The sequence below is a fragment of the Homo sapiens genome, chromosome 18, assembly GCF_000001405.40.
Source record: "Homo sapiens chromosome 18, GRCh38.p14 Primary Assembly".
Lineage (NCBI taxonomy): Eukaryota > Metazoa > Chordata > Mammalia > Primates > Hominidae > Homo > Homo sapiens.
This window is the reverse complement of record NC_000018.10, coordinates 24,060,304-24,081,323: the sequence shown is the minus strand read 5'-3', so window position 1 is coordinate 24,081,323 and position 21,020 is coordinate 24,060,304. Positions and strand designations below refer to the sequence as shown.

Here is a 21,020-nt window from a genome sequence, read left to right as displayed (position 1 = left end):
GTGAGAATTCTTTATAAGAATAAAAATTTCAGAAACACAGAAAAAGCTTAGCAAATTTGTACCTCCTAAGTCCAAAAATCAGAATCGTGAATCTCAGAGAATGTGGTCAAAGTCACAAAAACTGCTTATAAAATCATTTGAGGTTTTAAAATACATGACTTGTGAGACTAGTGAACAACGCCTTGTTCTCTAACTAAAGTCAGCTTAGAACCACCACCACGACCACAGAACACAGTCCTTGGTGTTGCATTGAAAGACATAAGACACAGCACCCTGTCAACCAACCAAACATTTTACCTGAAGTTTCCTTTAAAGTCTTTGATTGTCGTTTACTTACTTTCAACACTATATTATCTACCAAAGCATTGCAATACAGCTACTCACGTAGCTAAAGGGGCCTTCATGTCCTTACTTTCGCTTGCATACATCAGTGAAGAAAGCCCCTGTAGGCGGTCTCCAGGAAAACCCAGCAGGTTGATGATTTTGAGCAGGTTTGGGGGCACCATGGATATGCAAAGGTGAAAAAGGCCATATCCAAAGCTAACAGCACCTTTCAGTCTGTTCAGAGACTCCTCAGACACCCCTTCAGCCACAATGTGATTATCATTTGCAGCATCAGAAGTCAAGGACTCTTCAGTTAGCTTCTTCTGATACAGCTCCTGAAGGGCATTGATGTCCAGATAGCATTTATTGTAAATCTTCCAGGCTTTCCTAAGGATCCACCCACCTTTGATATAAGCTAAAAAGAGAAGGGGAGAAAAGATTCAAAAACATTCAAAATAATTTTTCTATTTCTATAGTAAAGGATACTGAACAGTAACCTGAAAATCAAGCCAAAAATGTAAAAAACATAAAAATTAGTATCTATTGTTGTACCCAGTGTTCTTATAGTGCTTACTTAAATGTCTTATTTCTCATCAGTCTCCCTTCACTACACTGGATGATGACTGGTAAGCATGTGTGTTTCTGCTCATTGTTCTATAAAGCCCTTCATGCAGTACCTAGAGTACGGTATGTAATATACATCGAATGAATGAATGAATCACCTGAATCCAACATCTTTTCACGAGTTCTGTGAAACCCTCCGCTGCATTTCTGAATTACTATACTGCTTTCCTGATAAACTTTTTTATAATCCTTGCATTTGTCTACCCTGTGTTACATTCCTCCTCAAAAGCAAGTTCTTGGCCTAGGTCTAGGTGACCATTAAATTTCTAGCCAAGGTTGGGTGCGGTGGCTCATGCCTGTAATCTCAGCACTTTGGGAGGCCGTGGTGGGCAGATTACTTAAGTCCAGGAGTTTGAGACCAGGCTGAGCAACATGGAGAAATCTCATCTCTATAAAAAATACAAAATTTAGCCAGGTGTGGTAGTGCACACCTGTAGTCCCAGCTACCTGGGAGGCTGAGGTGGGAGGATTCCCTGAGCCTGAGAGGTCAAGGCTGCAGTGAGCCACAACTGTGCCACGGCATGCCAGCCTGGGCAACAGAGTGAGATCCTGTCTCAAAAAAAAAAAAAGAAAGAAAAAAATGTATACCCAAGCACCAAGCATTGCGTCTTGCCAAAAAAAAATAAAATAAGCAGGCAAAAAAGACTAATATTTACTGGGTAAACAAATAGCCAGTTTATTATCAAAAAAGTCATTCATGTTAAATGCAAAATGTAAAGACCTCCCAATTCATGTATATCTGAGGAGTACTGTGTGGCTTAAGCACACCTTATCAGAATTGCTTTATTTGGTTTATGAAACTGGGGTTTATCCACTGCCCCAACCACAGTGAAGTAGCAGTAAAAAAGTTACAGCACAGCAGAAGGTACAAATCTCTTATCTTTAAAGCCACCTCCACTATTTTCTGTTAGGCCAATTTTTCTTAACAGAGCCCTCTTAGGAACACATACCACAAAGACGACTTGAAGTATAAGAGGTAAGACATGGGATTTACCACCTCCCTCCACCACTGGCCCCTGTCAGGACCCTACTGTTGACCACTCCTCCTAGGAATATTTTTACCTTCAGATGAGTAGGAAGGGCTAGGGGAGGTCAACTTACATAGGACTATCTGAGTGCATCATCATCTCATTTTTGAAGAAAGGATTTTCTGTAGGGAATTTTCTGTAAAATAAAGTTCTCTCATAACTATAAGAGAGCTTATCCACTTGGCAATGTTATTAATATGATACCAACTCTGACCCTCATGTACAAATGGACAACATGAACTGTCAGACTTCCAGGCCCTTTAGAACAGTAGGAAAAGAGGTTTTCAGAACGGCATTTTTAAAATTTCAGAAAATATATGAAATAAAATAAAATCTGATTTACAAAAACCCAATCCCGGAATTGAGAGTGATCTAAGAATAGATGTGTAGAAAAGAGTTGATGCAGCAGGCCTGACTGCTATCCTTCAATAGAACTGCTAAAAAGGTTGGCCCTTGGCTGGAATGGAAGCTTGGATTCTGGGAAAGTTCTTACCATTTCCAGGACTGATAAGAGTGGCTCACTGTGTGCACCTAAACTGTCTGCACAAATAATATGATGTACATTGAACACTGATTTTTCTTCTGGGAGTCCGGAATTTGTCTATGTGCCTACATGATCGGCCCCCAATAAAAACTCTGGCATTAAGTCTCTAATGAGATTTCCTGGTTAGTGACATTTCATTTGTGCTGTCGTAACTCGTTGCTGGAGCAAATTAGCACATCCTGTGTGACTCCCTGCAGAGCAAAGCCTTGGAAGCTTGTGCCTGGTCTCCCCTGGACTCCGCCACCCCATGTGCTTTTTCCCTTTGCTGATTTTCCTTTGTATCTAAGGAACACAAACGAACTACAAAACATAATCTAAGCCCTCCAAATATCCACAATAAAATTAGGAAAGAAAACCAATACAAATGAAAAAATAAGACTGCAACGTAATTTAGCTGTAAGAAGTCATAGCTAAAAATATGACTGTAAGATGAGTCTTGAATGTAAGTCATCAAACCTGGAGGTGGTCTTGGGGACCCCCAATCTATGGTATCAAGCTATTATTTTACTTAAATGCATCAATTTTCTGACAAATGATGAACATATCACCCAGGGGATCACATTTAAAAACAACTATCCTACAACTTCTGGGTGATTAATGTCCTATAGTCTACCTCCACTAAAAAGAATGCTATAGGGTAGAATGAACAAGTAAAACAAATTAATCTACAAAGTTTTTTTAGTAACTTTAAAATAATAAAAGTAATACATTTGAAACAATTTCTTTTCATTCGTTCTACTTAACAAGAATATTTACTGTACAAACACCACATTTCAAGCACTGTTCTGGGTGAATCGAAGTGAAATAAGACAGAGATCCTTCCTTTAAGAGGCTCAATGACTTTTTCCCCTCCTAAAGGGAAGCACTGTAGGAAAAGAAAGCCTGGAGAAAACCTTGAAGCTTCTTTTATACTAACAAAGTGGATTTTTAAGTGTCTGGATTGATCCAGCATGTCCACAAACAAGAAAGATGATGCTCAGTTACAATCCAAAAAGCCAAAGGTTTAACAGAAAAGCAGAAAAAAATAGAAACTAGAATATATATTCTTGAGAGCACAGAGGCAATTGGAATCTAATTGAAAACAAATAATCACTGGCTGCAGATTTTAAACAAATCTGTAAAACCCTAAAAATATCGATTGGCTATTGACTGTTTCTATTATGTGCCTGGCACTGTGCTTGCCACCTGAGGAACGCCAAAGAACTATAAAACATTGTCCAATCCCGCCTAATGCCCACAATAAAATTAGAAAAGAAAATAAACAAAGGAAAAAATAAGCATGCAACTTAACATACATATTTAAATGCTCTATTGGGTCACATACAGAAAGAGTGAAAACAAACAACGCTGAGATGATGAGTGAATTGTTCTTTTTTATCTCCTTTTTCTGTCACTAAATAGTTTTCCATGTAGTAAACACATAAATAAATTAGAGAGTGCAAAATAGTTACTGCAGGATTTCGGAAGAACACTTTACTCCTACCCATTCTTAACTGGAAATTTGGAGGGATAAATTTAACTCCATTTTATCCTGTATTTTCCAGGCTACCTCAGCTTTATTAAAGGAAGTGAAGCTTGCACTAAGGGAAAGGGAACACCCCAGGAGAGAGCAGCAGGAATGCCAGTAGGAAGGAGCAGATGGGCGAGCGGCTTGGAGGCAGAGTGAAGCAGGGGACACACCGGGACAAAAGGGTGCAAGCCCAACAGAGGAGTGAACACCTGCTCCCGGAGAAACGGCATCTCTCAACGTGACGTCGAAGGGACCAGGATTATAGACATGAATGCTAACAATTCTGACCTCAGGTGAGGAGCTACAGAAATGGATGGTAGAACTGGAAACAAACGTTAAGAATCCATCCAATCCTGAGTACGTGGAACTAAATCAATAAAACACAACAGAAACCTCCACGGTGAAAACCCCACTCTTCTAGAATAAGAATACAATGAATTCAATCCGTCTTTAATTTTGTGCCTAAGATGGGTGCCAATGTCTGAAGGCACATGTTAAAGTCTATGGTAACAAGCTGTAAGGTCCTTAATTTGAGCCAAGGAAACAGAACCCAACGTTTTTGACTGAGTCAAAGATGATAAACTGATGTATGTCAAAACAAACTTAATGCTCATGTCGAGAGAGGCCATGTTGCTTTTACTACATTCTGCGTCCAACTTGGCACTGAAACAGGTTCTCGGGACTTGCCCTACTCTCCATCCCACACTCTGTAAAGCAAAAATTCCAGCCACAGCCAGGCCAAGCAGGAGGAGGCAGAGGCTGGGGGAGAATGCAGCACCGAGAACAGGACGCTCTGCACTGTGGCTCCTACAGGGGCCGCTCCAGCAGCTCCATGAGAGGACACAGCAGCTGAGTGCATGTCTTCCCAACAAGCAGAGAACACGCTATTTAAGAGCCATACACCCTGCACAGCCTTTCATCTGGCTGCTCTGAAAGGTCAAGTATGAATCATTCAGCTGTCGTTATCGCTGTGTCTGTGGAGGGAGGTGGAGACAGCAGAAAAACCACAGAGCAGGCCGGGCGCGGTGGCTCATGCCTGTAATCCCAGCACTTTTGGAGGCTGAGGCAGGCAGATCACTTGAGGTCAGGAGTTCAAAACCAGCCTGGCCAACATGGTGAAACCCTGTCTCTACTAAAAAATACAAAAAAATTAGCCGGGCTTGGTGGCAGGTGCCTGTAGTTCCAGCTACTCAGGAGGCTGAGGCAGGAGAATAGCATGAAACCAGGAGGTGGAGGTTGTAGTGACCCAAGATTGTGCCACTGCACTCCAGCCTGGGCAACAGACAATCTGTCCCACCTTATGAGGACCAGGCAACAACTAGCTGAGAGATGGAGGGGGCGAGAGGAAACCCTGCCCCATACGGGGACAGAAGTCTTCCCTGGGAAAGGGCAAGAGCTGCTTGCAAAATGGGAATATCAAGTTACATGAAATTGATCTTGGATAAATTTTGTAATTTTTCAGGGGGACTGTATCTGGTGCAAGCATCTATTAAAGCCTGTCTGTCCAACTGTCCCGGAAGGAGGCTGGTTAACCCATGGCAATTCAGGCTTGCCTTTCTTGTGTCTCAAATAATAGAGGTTTTTTTTTTGTTTTTTTTTTTTTTTTTTTGAGACAAGGTCTCACTTGGATTGCTCAGGCTGCAGTGCAGTGGCACTATCTCACCTTACTGCAGCCCCGACCTCCCAAGCTCAGGTGATTCTTCCACCTCAGCCTCCTGAGTAGCTGGGACTACAGGCACACGCCACCAAGCCTGGCTGATTTTTTGTATTTTTAGTAGAGATGGGTTTTGCCATGTTGCCCAGGCTGGTCTCAAACTCCTAGACTCAAGCAATCCACCCACTTCGGCCTCCCAAAGTGCTAGGAGCCACCGTGCACAGGTGTGAGCCACTGTTCCTGGCCCAAGACTTTGAAGGACAAAAGATGATTTAGTTTTCACCAGTCAGCCCACTGCCTCGTTATCTTCAACCTTCACCAACAGACTTTTTTTTTTTTAATTATACTTTAAGTTCTAGCGTACATGTGCACAATGTGCAGGTTTGTTACGTATGTATACATGTGCCATGTTGGTGTGCTGCACCCATTAACTTGTCATTTACATTAGGTATTTCTCTTAATGCCAACCCTCCCCACTCCCCCCACCCCACGACAGGCCCCGGTGTGTGATGTTCCCCACCCTGTGTCCAAGTGTTCTCATTGTTCAATTCTAACCTATAAGTGAGAACATGCGTGTTTAGTTTTCTGTCCTTACAATAGTTTGCTCAGAATGATGGTTTCCAGCTTCATCCATGTCCCTACAAAGGACATGAACTCATCCTTTTTTATGGCTGCATAGTATTCCATGGTGTATATGTGCCACATTTTCTTTATCCAGTCTATCATTGATGGATATTTGGGTTGGTTCCAAGTCTTTGCTATTGTGAATAGTGCCGCAATAAACATACATGTGCATGTGTCTTTATAGCAGCATGATTTATAATCCTCTGGGTATATACCCAGTAATGAGATGGCTAGGTCAAATGGTATTTCTAGTTCTAGATCCCTGAGGAGTCGCCACACTGTCTTCCACAATGGTTGAACTAGTTTACCGTCCCACCAACAGTGTAAAAGTGTTCCTATTTCTCCACATCCTCTCCAGCACCTGTTGTTTCCTGACTTTTTAACGATCACCATTCTAACTTATGTGAGATGGTATCTCATTGTGATTTTGATCTGCATTTCTCTGATGGCCGGTGATGATGAGCATTTTTTCATGTGTCACCAACAGACTTCTAATAGGCTCACTTCTCCAATCCCAATATCTTCCTGAATGGCATTACCTTTCCTCCATTTCCTCCCTTTAATTATGCCTGAGGTTGCAAATTTGTGAATTTTTGCAATCAGATCTTGGCAATGACCTTGAACCGTAGGATATAAATAACTCCCACATGCTTAGCGTTCCAATAATGGAACACTAGGCATGAATGGATTTTAGTATCCACCCACCATGTTCTAGGCAAAAACGTCCTACCAGGTTCTAAGGACACAGAGAAGGAAACGGACCTTCATGCTTTATAAACCTCCTCAGGGATAAGGGATCCTTGATCTTCCCAAAGATTCAGAAACACTTGTTCCCTATTCAACCTCTATAACTAACTTATATGTCTATGGCTGAAGTATCCTGCTGAATTAGAATTTATTTACTTACTTATTTGTTCCTACTGCCAAACCATGAGTTCTCCCAGGGCATGAAGTGCATCTCATTCATCTCAAGACTACCAGCACCTATCATCTCACAGCATGTGGGCACATAGGAAATGCTCAACATATGTGGGGAAGAGGTAAAACAGCAGGTAGATTGCACAGTCCCTGCCCTCAAGGGGTATGTAGCCTAATACTTTAGGCAGACATGTAAATAAATATGAGTATTGCTATGTGATACCTGCAGTAAATGGTGATGTACAGGGTATAAGTAATAGCACAACAAAGGCCAGATTGGCTGGGCATGGTGGCTCACACCTGTAATCCCCACACTTTGGGAGGACAAGGCGGAAGGATTGCTTGAGCCCAGGAGTTCAAGACCTGCCTGGGCAGCATAGTGAGACCCCTATCTCTACAAAAAATTTTTAAAAAATTAGCCAGGTGTGGTGGTACATGCCTGTAGTCCCAGCTACTCAGGAGGCTGAGGCAAGAGGATCACTTGAACCTGGGACCTCAAGGCTGAAGTGAGCTATGATCTCCAGCCTGGATGACAGAGTGAGACCTTGCCTCTTAAAAAAAAAAAGAACCAGGATTGATATGAGGAGGGAATGCTGTACAAAGGAGGAAGGCCTGGGTTGCACTTGATTAAGCATAAGAGAAAGATAAAGGGGGTAGGGGTGTTCCACACTGAGAGGGCAAGGTGAATAAAAGCTCGAGGCAGCAGCGGGTATTCAGGGAGTGTGAGAATCTCAGCTCAGCTAGATGAGGTAGTGGAAGGGCAGGTGGCTGGGAAAGAGGCAGGGTCTTACATGCCCCGCACAAAAGGAATTCAGACCTTCCCTTGCAGGTGAGGCCCACCAGCTAAGTGTTTAAAGCATGGGTTTAAGCAGTTCTGGAAAGATACTCTAGCAGCAATGGAGAGTGTGGCCCAGAGGGAAGCAAGAGGCAGTGTGGCTACTATTCTAGCCCAGGGCTAGTTCCCCAGGGTACAGGGAGCACCTGAGGGAGAAGGTCCCAAGGAACCTGGGTTTCTGGGCCACTTGGAAGGTGATAGCACAAGTAACCAAACTAAGGTGGGAGCACGTGGACAGCACCAGGATTTCAGTTAGAAAATGAGAAAACCATGGCTCAGGCCCTGGTTCTGTCATCACCAACAAGCTGCATAAATCATTCAACTGCAACTGTCTCACCTGTCAAGTAAGGAAAACAATCTCATCTGAGGAAAACTAGAGTATATATGTTGCCAAGAATACAAAGGTGAGAAAGACATGGGCCCTCTCTTCAAATCCAAAAGGAAATAAAGGAAATTTATAATCAAACAAGGTGGCAAGTGCCATAAAATATGTTTTAAAAATAATTTATCACAAAAGTAATATATTCTTGCTGCAATAAAAGACACTTGGATAATAGAGTTAAAAAGATATAAAGTAGTATGGGAAATTAAAGAGATGATGGAGTAATTCATTATAAGGAAGTTTAAATGAGATAAACACAAGCTTTTTTAAAAGTAAGAAGCATTGACCGGGCACGGTGGCCCATGCCTGCAATCCCAGCACTTTGGGAGACCAAGGCGGATGGATCACTTAAGGGCAGGAGTTCGAGACCAGCCTGGCCAACATGGTGAAACCCTGTCTCTACTAAAAATACCAAAAATTAGCCAGGAGTGGTGGCATGCACCTGTAATCCTAGCTACTTGGGAGGCTAACGTACGAGAATCACTTGAACCCGGGAGGCAGTGGTTGTGCTGTGAGCCGAGATTGTGCCACTGCACTCCAGCCTGCATGACAGAGTGAGAAACTGTCTTTAAAAAAAAAAAAAAAGCATGAATCATTAAAAAGTTCACATTGGCTCATCCCTACCAGAGCTCTGGCCTGTGTGTGTGCCCCTGGCCCCTCAGTGCTGCCCCGCTCCAAGGGTGGGGAGGGCCACCCATAACAAACATCTCCAACAAGGAGCTTTGTTTTTTTTTTTTCCCCAAGAAAATTATCCATGTAAAATGTTTTCTAAGAAACATGGATCCCAACAATGAAGTAAACAAATTATTTGTAGCTTAATAACCCACTGGGTGTCTCAAAGGCAAATAGAGCACATTGTTGGTTGTGTTTGTTTGAAACAAATACTGAGCTATTCACAAAGCAAATAACCACTACATAAGTTTATGACAAGCTGAGGCTTTCATGCCTATGAGAATTTCACTTCAATGTCAATATCACATTCAATAAATCATAGGACTTCAGGAAGAAGCAAGAATGCTGTCAAATACTATGATGAACAGGATTAAGTAACAATAATATCAAACTATTAGAAGAATAGGCAAAGGCTGTAAAGATAATTTGTGAAAGAAATATAGTTTATGGATAAAATACAAAAGCATATTCAATCTCACTAATACCCCCCAAAAATGCACACCAGTCTAAACGTTCATGAGGAATTGACTAAATACATTAGGGCATACCCATATGATAAACTAACACACTATTATTTAAAATTATGTTCTGAAAGTAAGTCATAGGGAAAATACCCAAAGTATAATTGAAAAGAAAAAACAAGATACAAAATACTTTAGATTCAATTTTGCAAAAAATTAGAGAAATATAAAGTAGATCATTAATAAAAAGAGATTTTCTCTAAGTGGTGAAATTGGAGATGATGACTTGCTTTCTATCTTTCCAAAATATTCCATACTAATATTTAGTAATTTTACAATCAGAATAATCTTAACTATAAATACTATTATCTGATAATTCTCAGCTTCACGAGGGCAGGGACTAGGCCTGTGTTTGCTTATCTAACTAAGTGCTTAGCACACAGCATGTGCTCTATAATTATTTGTTGAATGGATCAATGATTGAACAAACGAAAGACAGACGTACTCATTTAGAAAGTTCTGGCTGGGCACGGCAGCTCACACCTGTAATGCCAGCACTTTGGGAGGCCGAGGCAGGCAGATCACAAGGTCAGAGTTCAAAACCAGGCCGACCAACATAGTGAAACCCCGCCTCTACTAAAAGTACAAAAAATTAGTTGGGCGTGGTGGTGGGCGCCTGTAATCCCAGCTACTCTGGAGGCTGAGGCAGGAGAATCACTTGAACCTGGGAGGCAGAGGTTGCAGTGAACCAAGATCGCACCACTGCACTCCAACCAAGGAAACACTGCGAGACTCCATTTCAAAAAACAAAAAACAAAAAAGTTCTGATATATTCTCACACTTTAACTTTTATTACATTTGCTTTATCCTCCTCTCTCAACAGGTATTTTCTTTTCTTTTCTTTTCTTTTTAAGTCTCACTCTGTCACCCAGGCTGGAGTGCGGTGGAGTGATCTCAGCTCACTGCAACCCCCACCTCCCATGTTCAAGCGATTCTCCTGCCTCAGCCTCCCAAGTAGCTGGGATTACAGCGACCACCACCACACCCAGCTAATTTTTGTATTTTTAGTAGAGACGGGGTTTCACCATGTTGGCCAGGCTGGTCTCGAACTCCTGATTCAAGTGATCCGCCTGCTTAAGCCTCCTAATGTGCTGGGATTACAAGTGTGAGCCAAGGCACCTGGCCAGATATTTTCTTAATGGTTAAAATTAGCTCCTTATGAGAGTCCCTGAGTGTCAGGAAAAGGAAGTACAAAATCACAGAGCTCTTGTCTTGACCAACAAGGTCCAGATAAGCTCTGGTACTCTTTTATATCTGAGTCAGCAGTGCGCTCCAAATGCGGGATATGACATTACTGCATTATAAAAAATTCACATGAGCTATGAGTTCTTGACCATATAAGTAAGGTATTGTTAGAAGAGTCCTGAGAAGAGGGTTAAGGAGAAAAAGAATTATTGAACCAAAACAAACAGTGAATGTACATCATAGAACATATTTTAAAAGAAAGATCAATTCTTAGAAGTCCAAATTTCAGAGATCAAAATAGAAGTTATATTCCACTTTTGACTTCAGCCAAACAGAAGCCAAGCATCGTTCGTACGAGACAGAGACAAAGAAAGAGCAAGAGAAACAAGAAAAAGGGGGAAAAACCGGCTTCTGATAGGCTAGAAAGAAAAGAGTATGTTATAATTTAAAAGAAATTTATCCTTCTTCATTTAGGGTTTAGGAGAAAATATCTTTCTGACAGTGAATTTTAATTGATTTCCTTTTAGAATTTTCGGTTTTTTCAAGTAAATTCTATCTACCAAAATGGGAAGTTTCTGCTGTCAATATCAGAGACACCCATAACCACATAATTAAAAGAATTAGGTCAATTTTAGACTCAGTCATAGGACAAGTTTTAGAGGCTCACTTGAGTCTATTTCACTCAAGAAATTAAAGCTAAGCCTAGAAAACATTTGTCTTGGACAGACTAATTAAGAAATTAGTTTATATCCCTCACTAAAGTTTGTTAAAATGCAGGTCATTCCAGTATATTAGCAAATCTTTAATGATCTTTAACGATCTCCTAATATACGTGAAACCATTGAAGCCACTCAGGCCTTAATAACAACTTCCTGAAAACCTTAAATTTAAGCCAGTTACATTTCACTTTAAAGGTTATTATCACAACCTGATTCCCACAAAGAAAAACTATTATACATCTACATACATATAAGAGGCAGTAGCAATTTCTGTCAGTATGACAGAATTCTCTTGAGACAAGAGGATGAAACAGACTCTGGCACAAAAACTGCTCCACTAAACACACATTAAACACTTGTGGTTTCAATTTCCCCAGTAATAAATCAGTATCATGCCCCAAAGAGGTGCCACATGTGTTCAAAGACTGAAATATAAGGCATTCTTAAAAAAGCATATTACTAATTGTGTGCACTGAATACTGAAAACCATTAAAAATAATGCTTCAGCATACCTGACAATTCTTGTTTTACAAATGAAAGCACAGCCAGGTAAACCTGGCAGTCAGCTATGATTATCTGCCTCTGAAGCCGATCAACCATAGAGGGGGCGGATTTTCGGACATCAACCTGTTTGGCAGAAAGAATGTCCACACTGATAAATCACACATAACAACGACAGTTCCCCCAAACAGTATCAGGTTATTGTACAAGATAATTTCACATACGAATTGTGAAACCTGGCACTCAAAGCCAAGCCCAAATTTATCCTATGAGCCTGGCAGCTCCAAATTCCCATTAGTCTGACTTTGTTTTGTTTGTTTGAGCACTGTAACTCAAAGACAAAAATATTCTAAGTGATACAAGCTGAATTCATGGGAAATACGAAAAGCAACAAAAAACCTCGGAGTTTCACCTTTTTTAAAAACAAACAATATGAAGTCTTTCTTATCCAGAATAAAAATCATTAAAGGTACAATATATTCCTCAAAGTAGATAACCTGAAAAGTCAACTTTGCAGCCACCTGTCTTCAGGTAGGATAACATTAGGGGCATTCTTTTCGTGCATGCAACTGAGATGTAAGGATCAGAAACTGATTACATTTCCATTAAGGAGAAAATATTCTGGAATTAAAAATTAGCTTTGAATAAATCACAAACTACTTGAAATATAAGTCATATAAATACAAATATGCAAAAAGTCAAATCACTTTTTATAAAATGTTGGTCTTTATCATAATGTTTCTAAAATGAAAAATAGAACACTTCAGAATAGAACACTCTGCATTCTTAGTACAAAGTAAACTTGAATAAAATAAGTTAAATAGCTTTAATATGCTATCACAATGACAGATGAAATAATAGAATTTTTGCAAATATGTCAACAGTATACACAGTAGACAAGCCAGAATGATGTGTTTCCCTTTTTTCTAGATTTTAGCATAATCCATCGTGGTCACTGTTGTTTCAAACCTAGCCCCAGCACTCACTATTCTATTCACTTGGGAAAATGTCAAGATGCTTCTGTTTCCTCGTTTGTCATAAAATCTACTGTGCAGGATTGTTGGGAGGGCTAATGAGATACTGAATGTGAAAATGCTTTTTAAATTGCAAGGACTCATTACAAATCTTAATTATTAACACAGGTGCTAGACATGGTACTGGATACTGATGACAGACATGTAAATAAGCTTTCATTCTAATGACAAAATATAGACCATATTACTATGCACTGTAGAAAGCTCTCTGAAGGGTAAGGACAGGGAACTATGGGAAGCTGTAGGAGACACACTCAACAGGGCATGGAGCCTCAAGCAACAGTCTTTGAGGAAAAGGACACGTAGAAAGAACTAAAGAAGAGTAGGAACCAGGAAACGAGGGAGGAGAATGTTCCAGGCAGAGGAAACGTAAACGCCAAGTCAGCCACATTAAGAAGTCTGTACTTTATTATAATGGCAATGGCTGGTGAGAGGGGCCACCGAAAACCAAGCAAGCAACAAATTTGCATTTTAGTGACTATATTATGGTCAATGAATTAGAGCAGCATTCTCCAACCTTTTTGGCACCAGGGACCAGCTTCACGGAAGACAATTTTTCCATGGACTGGGTTGAGGGGGTGGGAGGAGATGGGTTAATGGTTTCAGGATGAAACTGTTCCACCTCACGTCATCAGGCGTTAGTTAGATTCTCATAAGGAGGGTGCACCCTAGATCCCTTGCATAGACAGTTCATGCTCCTATGACAATCTCATGACACTCTTGATCTGACAGGAGGCGAAGCTCAGGTGGTAATGCTCACCTGCCCTGCAGATCACCTCCTGCCCTGTGGCTTGGTTCCTAACAGCCCATAGACCAGTACGGGTCCATGGCCCAGAGGCTGGGGACCCCTACATTAAAGAACCGTGAGACTGGAGGCAGAAATACCCATGTGTCTTAGACAAGTGGGATAGTGTCTGACCTACAGAGATGGCAGTGAGGATGGAGAGTAGTTGATGAATTCAAGAGGTATTAAGAAAAAGAGTCAACAGCACTTGGTCATTGATTAGACGTTATAAAACGTTGGTCTTTATCATAATGTTTCTAAAATGAAGAATAGAACACTCCAGAATAGAACATTCTGCATTCTTAGTACAAAACAAACTTGAATAAGTTAAATAGCTTTCATATGCTATCACAATGACAGAAGAAATAACAGGATTTTTGCCAATATGTCAACAGTATACACAGCAGACACACCAGAATGATCTGTTTCCCTTTTTTCTAGATTTTAGCATAATCCATCGTGGTCACTGTTGTTCCAAATCTAGCCCCAGCACTCACTATTCTATTCACTTGAGAAAATGTCAAGATGCTTCTGTTTCCTCGTTTGTAATAACATCTACTGTGCAGGATGTGTCAGGCTGGAGAGAGAGGAAGCTAGGAAAACTCTGGCCCTCTGGAGCATCAGGAGGCGGGACACTTGGCCCATCAGTGGCTTTCTCATGGTGGACACCATAAACAAGAGCAGAGGTGAAACACTCTCCTGTGATGCTTCATAGGCAGGGCACGGGCATGCAGGAGCAGAAGACAGGTGGCTTCTGATGACTATATCCAACAGACTGATTTGTCAGTGACGTATGTGAGACCCTTGGGCACTCCAAGTAACATCAGGGCTAGGAGGGTGCCTCTCCATAGCCTAGCACTTTTGCACTGAAATGGTGAGGGCAAAATCAGGAAAACTGGATTCTGATGGTATTATGACTATTTATAACCAAAGGCTGGTGAGGCCTGGGGAAAATTAGGTAAACAGCTGAATTCCAGAATTACACCAAAATGCAATTCTATTATTCATCAACTGCCATCGTATCCTATTTGAATTACATATAGGAAAACCTCATTAAAACAGCCCTTCCCACACGGCCCATTATGGAAGAAGATGATTCTAAGATATCAAAAGGACATGCACTGAATGGCTCTGGATGACTGAAAGCAGCTTCTGTTTTTATAAGAGATAACATTTTATATAACCAAAAACCATAAGAAACATTGTGGTTTTTCAGTCATATTCTAAATACTAAAACCAAGCAAATGGCTTTTGTTCTAAATGAACAAAAGTGATATTCTAAATAAGTGGCACACAGTCCACAACCTAAAGCCGCAATACTTACGTTCTTCTTAATTTTATTCTTGATTGTTTCAATTACTCCAGCCTCTTCACTTTCACACAGTTTTTCTGTGGTTTTTAAGTCATCACATGCCAACTGCATTTTTTCTTCCTCAAATGTCATCATGGCATTCTTCCAAGAAAGAAAGAATGAATGAATGAATGAATTAGTATCTGAAAATTTAAGCCAACTTATTACAAGAAAACTCCAAATTAAAAAAACACTTAAATTATTTATTGCAAGCAAAAGAATCACAATGTTACAGCATAATCTATTCATTCAAAGAAACTGTAATCTCAACATGAAATAAGACTATACCTCTATCACATCATCATGAAAGAAATACGGTAATAAATGTCCTTGCCATTACTGTTCTACAAATTTTGTTGTTGCTGTTATTAAACACAGTAACAAAAATTCTCTATGATTTCTGACTGGTCTGCTCAATTCAGTTTTTACAGTGGCGTCTGATGCAGAAGTTCATTCTACCCACATATGGATCCCTGGCTCCACCAACTACTGCACAGAAATGCTAATGAAACAACAGCTTGTAGGTACACCTGGAAAATCTTCAGTCTTTCCAGGGACTGCAATTCCAGTAGGTTCACTTATAAGGAATTCATTTTATATTGTCTATGTTTAAAAATTCCATGACAGCTTGTTTCCAGGCACCTGATCCTGGTGGACTTTTTCAAGCCACATTTAACGAAGTAGGGGAAATCTACTGAATCTCTGCTGAGCACCTGTGACTTTTACACAGTAGAACTGAGGTTTCTGAGATGAATGGGCTTACAGGGGCAGAGACAGACTTGCTGCGGGATACCTGGTTCTTGGAAGGACCTGATGAACCTACTGTCTCTAACTCCTCATTTCCTATCAAATTCCACCAGCTCCATCTTGGCCTTTCAGGCTTCCTCAGTATGGCTCTAACCTACTTTTCCATTCTAGCCAAACCTCGGCCCAGGCCTCCCTGCCACACTTTTCTTCCCAACCCTCCTCTCAAGCTGCTGAAATCTCAACCCTGCTGTGGCCTTGCTTCTCCTCCTCCTCCACCACCAGACTCAGCCAAGACCCTTTGGTTAGATCTCATTCGCAGCCCTTGTTATCACTTGGGTACTAATGTTACAACCGCCACCCAGTACCATTTTCCTTAGGGTTGGGAATAATGTATTCTTTCAAACAATAGCCGTTAACATTTTTGTTGCATTAACTGGCAATAAGAGGAAATAAATACCTTGAATAAAAACTTCTCACTGGAAGCTGGCGTGGTACCTGTGGTTGAGCACTGCCAGGCTGTGGCATGCCCATTTGCTGACATCTTTCCCAATCTTGGATCTAAATGCTTTCTCTTTTTCAGTCCCTATCATGTCTTTTTTTTTCTTGCTGTTACACAATTCATTAATAGTCTTTTAAAAAAATTATGTGTTTGAAAGTAATTTGTGTGGTTATTACTATTTCCGAAAAATCGAAGTATCCCATTTTCCACATTGCCCAATGTACTTTAAAACTAACTGCAACCTACTTCCTCAATTCCCAAATACTCATATTTGGAAATGTAATACAAACTGACGAATTTTAGCTCTGCTCATTTAACTTGACTTCTAGTCCACATTTACTCAATAATTTCAGAGCAAACCTTTATTACCCAAACCCAGACTTTTTTTCTACCTCGAATGCAGTTTTAATTATTGAAGGTCTTTCCATTACATTTTTATTCTAAAAAGGACTTTGGTTAAAATATAATACCCTATAAATAAGATGTAAGCATTTTATTTTTAAAATTAGGGAAGGCAGATTATTTCATAGGCATTGGGTAATAGGCAAAAACTTTATTTCAGTTTTAAACTCTAAAAGACTTTCTACAATAGTGTATCTATACAACTGGTAGCCACTAACAGACATTACTTTATATAATTGTTTCCTTCATGCCAATAGGTCTTAAGATATCAACTTACCAAAAAACTGACAAAGCTGGCTCCAAAACTCATTAGTGGGCTATGATTTCTGTTAAAAAAACACACACACACACACAAAATACAATTATTTTCACTGTAAAATTTTATTTTAAAAGCATTTGACATATCATGATTACCATATAATCCTTCTAATTGAATAAAAGAAGTTAAGGTCATCAAGCAGATTAAATTACCCTAATAAAGAAGTTAAAGAGGCAAGGTGGTTTATGGCTCTATCTGCCAGGATAGAATTTGCCTCTGATTCTTCAAAGCAAGGCAAACAAAAAGTCAAATTATAACAGACACTGCCTTAGTAAACTTTGTAACTGTGGCTGTTAAAGAGTTGACACAGTAAATATAAAGATAGTAGAAACAGGCCAGGCGCGGTGGCTCACGTCTGTAATCCCAGCACTTTGGGAGGCTGAGGCAGGCAGATTACCTGAGATTAGCAGTTGGAGACCAGCCTAGCCAACATGACAAAACCCCATCTCTACTAAAAATACAAAAGTTAGCAGCAAGTGGTGGCGGGTGTCTGTAATCCCAGCTACTGGGGAGCCTGAGGCAGGGACAATTGCGTGAATCCAAGAGGTGGAGGTTGCACTGAGCCAAGACCACACCACTGCACTCCAGCCTGGGCGAGAGAGTGAGACTCTGTCTCAAAAAAAAAAAAAAAAGGTAGAAACAATCTGACAACTACAAAAACATGGCCAAAGAAAGACAGTTATTATTCATTTTTAAAATAATCTTCTACAGTTACCAGTTAGATCATTTTTAAAATGCAAAACTTGTTACAAATGTTCAACACAGAAAATCAGTATAGTTTCTAGAGTAGATCAAAGGGTCTCTTCACTGAGTCAGACTTCACACACTTACTCATCAATCCCAGAACCTTAGGAATGCCTCGCTAAGAGTCAGCCATTCCCCCCTTGTAATCATCTGATTTTGTTGTAAGGCAAAAATGAAACCAAATCAATACCAATTTAAAGAATAAAAGAATATAAATGTTCTGCTTCAAAATCCAAAATAGTACAAAATCCAGATTTCTATAAATTGCACTAAAAGGAAAAGCTAGTTGTAATTACCTTCTTAAATGAAAATCGTTTTACTGATTTTTTATTATGCAAATACTATATGGTCACTATAAAAAGGGATGAAACAATTTATTCAATCTCTGACTATAAATACAGAATATATGCAAAGTGAGAGTATGTGTGGGTCTACGGGAAAGAGAAGGTGCACACTTACATGTGTGTGACTCTGTGTGTATACACACACATATGCCTAATGGACATCTTGTACATATGTTTTTGCAGGCAAGGCCAAATATATTTTTGGGATAAAATGCTAGAGGTAGTGTTACTGAATTGAAGGGTACACACATTCATTTTTCTCCTGGTACACTGTGTGTGTGTCAGAGAAAGACAGTGTGTGTGAGATCCAGGACTCTATTTTACATTAACCTTCTGTTGCCATTTTCTTTTTCATCTACTTAGTACCTACCTAAATTCTACAGTTAATAATAGTCTGCTTTTCCCATTTAATAGGTTACTTAAACCTACATGAAAAAAAGTGAGGGGGTCAATTCCCTTGTGAGGAATCCCTAACCAGTGCTCACACCCATGAACCTAGATCAAACGGCACACTCCTGTAGCATCTGTCATCCCCACAATCTGCCTCAAAATACACATTAGTTTTTCTCATTCCACAGCACTATATGGGAATAACAGTATGGGCTCCTACCCTACCCTACTATATATCATATCCACCTTACACACATAGCAGGTGTTTCACAAATCCGAGTCAGTGAAGGAAGGGATGACACAGAATTCTGCCTTTCAGGAACAGACACATCTCAATCAAGTGCTGAGTACTGCAGCTTTTCCCTCCTTTTCCCTTTCCCTGCTCAAATATTAGCCACTTTGCCATTTGAAAAATGAAGGAAGCTGAAACTAGGGCCTACTGTTGCCACATCTGCTTCTTATTCTTGGCTAAAATTAGGTTTCTGAGAGCTGCGGCAATTAATTATTCATGGTACCTAACCTGGCCCTTTCGACTTCACCTACCATCTTATCATTTAAGAGGGGGGAAAAGAAACCATAGCAACAACGCAAGGAAACCATTTTCCCTCCTTGAAGAACTGTCTGCATCCCCCACAGCACCCGGGTGCATCGGGCACGTGACAATGCACTGCAGGACGGGCGATCGTCCTCTCAGGCTGCACATCACTTGCTGTTAGAAGAGCTCGACCTAACATGGTTCACTTGGTCCTTGGTTTGTTTTCTTTTTAAACAGAGTCTCACTCTGTCACCCAGGCTGGAGTGCAATTGTGCAATCTTGGCTCACTGCAACATCCGCCTCCCAGGTTCCAGCCATTCTCCTGCCTCAGCCTCCCGAGTAGCTGGGATTACAGGCAGGCACCACCATGCCCAGCTAATTAATTGTATTTTTAATACAGACGGGGTTTCACTATATTGAGCAGGCTGGTCTCGAGCTCCTTCCTCAAGTGATCTGCCCTCCTTGGCCTCCCAAAGTGCTGGGATTACTGGTGTGAGCCACCACACCCAGCCCACGCTTTTTTTTTTTTTTTTTTTTTTTACTTATTTCAAGTGATCCTAAGTTAACTTACTGCATCTGCATCCTAATCAGTTGTGGACCATGCATGTGTCTCTACACAAAATGCATTCATTCCAGAGATCTGGAAATGTTCCCAAAGAGTACGAAGGTCATTGGTTCAAAACCAGTGCTATGGACGGGGAGGAAGAGGCTCCTAGCTCATTTCAATTACTCCTCATATTTGGAACCAACAAAGACCAAACAAGAGGGGAGTGGGAATGCTATGTGAAGGCTGAGTATAAGCATTAGAACCCAAATACAAACCTTTCTAACTACCAAAAGATACACAAAAAATGGAGTGAGTGAAATAAACCATAGTGAAAAACCTATTTTTTTAAAAAAAAAAAAAGAAGACTAAATATTTGCTGATATTGAAAAAACAATGGTAGGATAATCTATAACATTTTTTTCAAAATTGATACCTATAAGGTGAGGGAGGGGAATAGGGAAGAAGAAAAAAGGATGGAAATGAAGCTCCCTTTTATACATCTTGTTTTATAGATTTCATTTTGGAACCATGTAAAAATTATTCACAGTAATACTGAGTTAAATGTTAATAATGCAACCCCTAAAGTCAAAAGAAAGTGACTTAAATGTCCCTAAAAGCAAATCCAGTTGGTAATATAATACCAGAGCAGAACTAGTCCAAGAGACTTTACAACACAGTAATCTGACAGTACATCCCTATTGTGAAATACCCTTAAAAACTGACCCCAAAATGTGGCCAAAAGAAAAATCTTAACTATTTTCGTAATCATATTCTTATTGGACAAATGGGTACTGTTATGCTAAGGCTGCTGGGTCATAGTACGTGAGAAAGCAATCAGTTAAGTATGTCAGTGTTTGTTGGGACCCAGGACTTTGTGCATAGGAAAAAGGATGAAATAAACTTTTAAATCTTATAGTCCAGAATACAAACTGGAAGAATAAAAGCAAACTCACTGAATTTTTTATCTTTAAAAGAATACGGCCAGGCGCAGTGGCTCACGCCTGTAATCCTAGCACTTTGGGAGGCTGAGGCGGGCAGATCACCTGAGGTCAGGAGTTCGAGACCAGCCTGGCTAACATGGTGAAACCCCATCTCTACTAAAAATACAAAAATTAGCTGGGCATGCCTATAATCCCAGCTACCTGGGAGGCTGAGGCAGGAGAATCACTGGAACCTGAGTGGCAGAAGCTGCAGTGAGCCGAGATCGCGCCACTGCACTTCAGCCTGGGCGACAGAGAGAGACTACGTCTCAAAAAAAAAAAAAAAAAAAAAACAGAAACGCA

General features: G+C 40.4%; 1 protein-coding gene across 7 annotated transcripts in view, besides 1 other annotated feature; it reads right to left on the bottom strand.

Annotated features, from left to right (window-relative positions):
* The window catches only part of TTC39C (tetratricopeptide repeat domain 39C), a 142,714-nt gene that overhangs the window by 54,277 nt on the left and 67,417 nt on the right, over window positions 1-21,020 (bottom strand). For all 7 annotated transcript variants that reach the window (NM_153211.4, XM_047437297.1, XM_047437298.1 and 4 more), the window contains 4 exons: window positions 17,136-17,184; window positions 15,184-15,312; window positions 12,053-12,167; window positions 385-739 (listed from right to left, as the gene is read on the bottom strand). In NM_153211.4, coding sequence (NP_694943.2) covers window positions 385-739; window positions 12,053-12,167; window positions 15,184-15,312; window positions 17,136-17,168 — 632 coding nt within the window. In that variant the 5' untranslated portion in view covers window positions 17,169-17,184. The remainder of the gene's footprint in view (window positions 1-384; window positions 740-12,052; window positions 12,168-15,183; window positions 15,313-17,135; window positions 17,185-21,020) is intronic.
* Window positions 4,785-5,079: an enhancer, noted in NCBI's record as "tiled region #15364; K562 Activating DNase unmatched - State 8:EnhW". NCBI's record gives its function as "activates a minimal TATA promoter and a strong SV40 promoter by Sharpr-MPRA in K562 cells {active_cell/tissue: K562}" and the evidence as "EXISTENCE:reporter gene assay evidence [ECO:0000049][PMID:27701403]".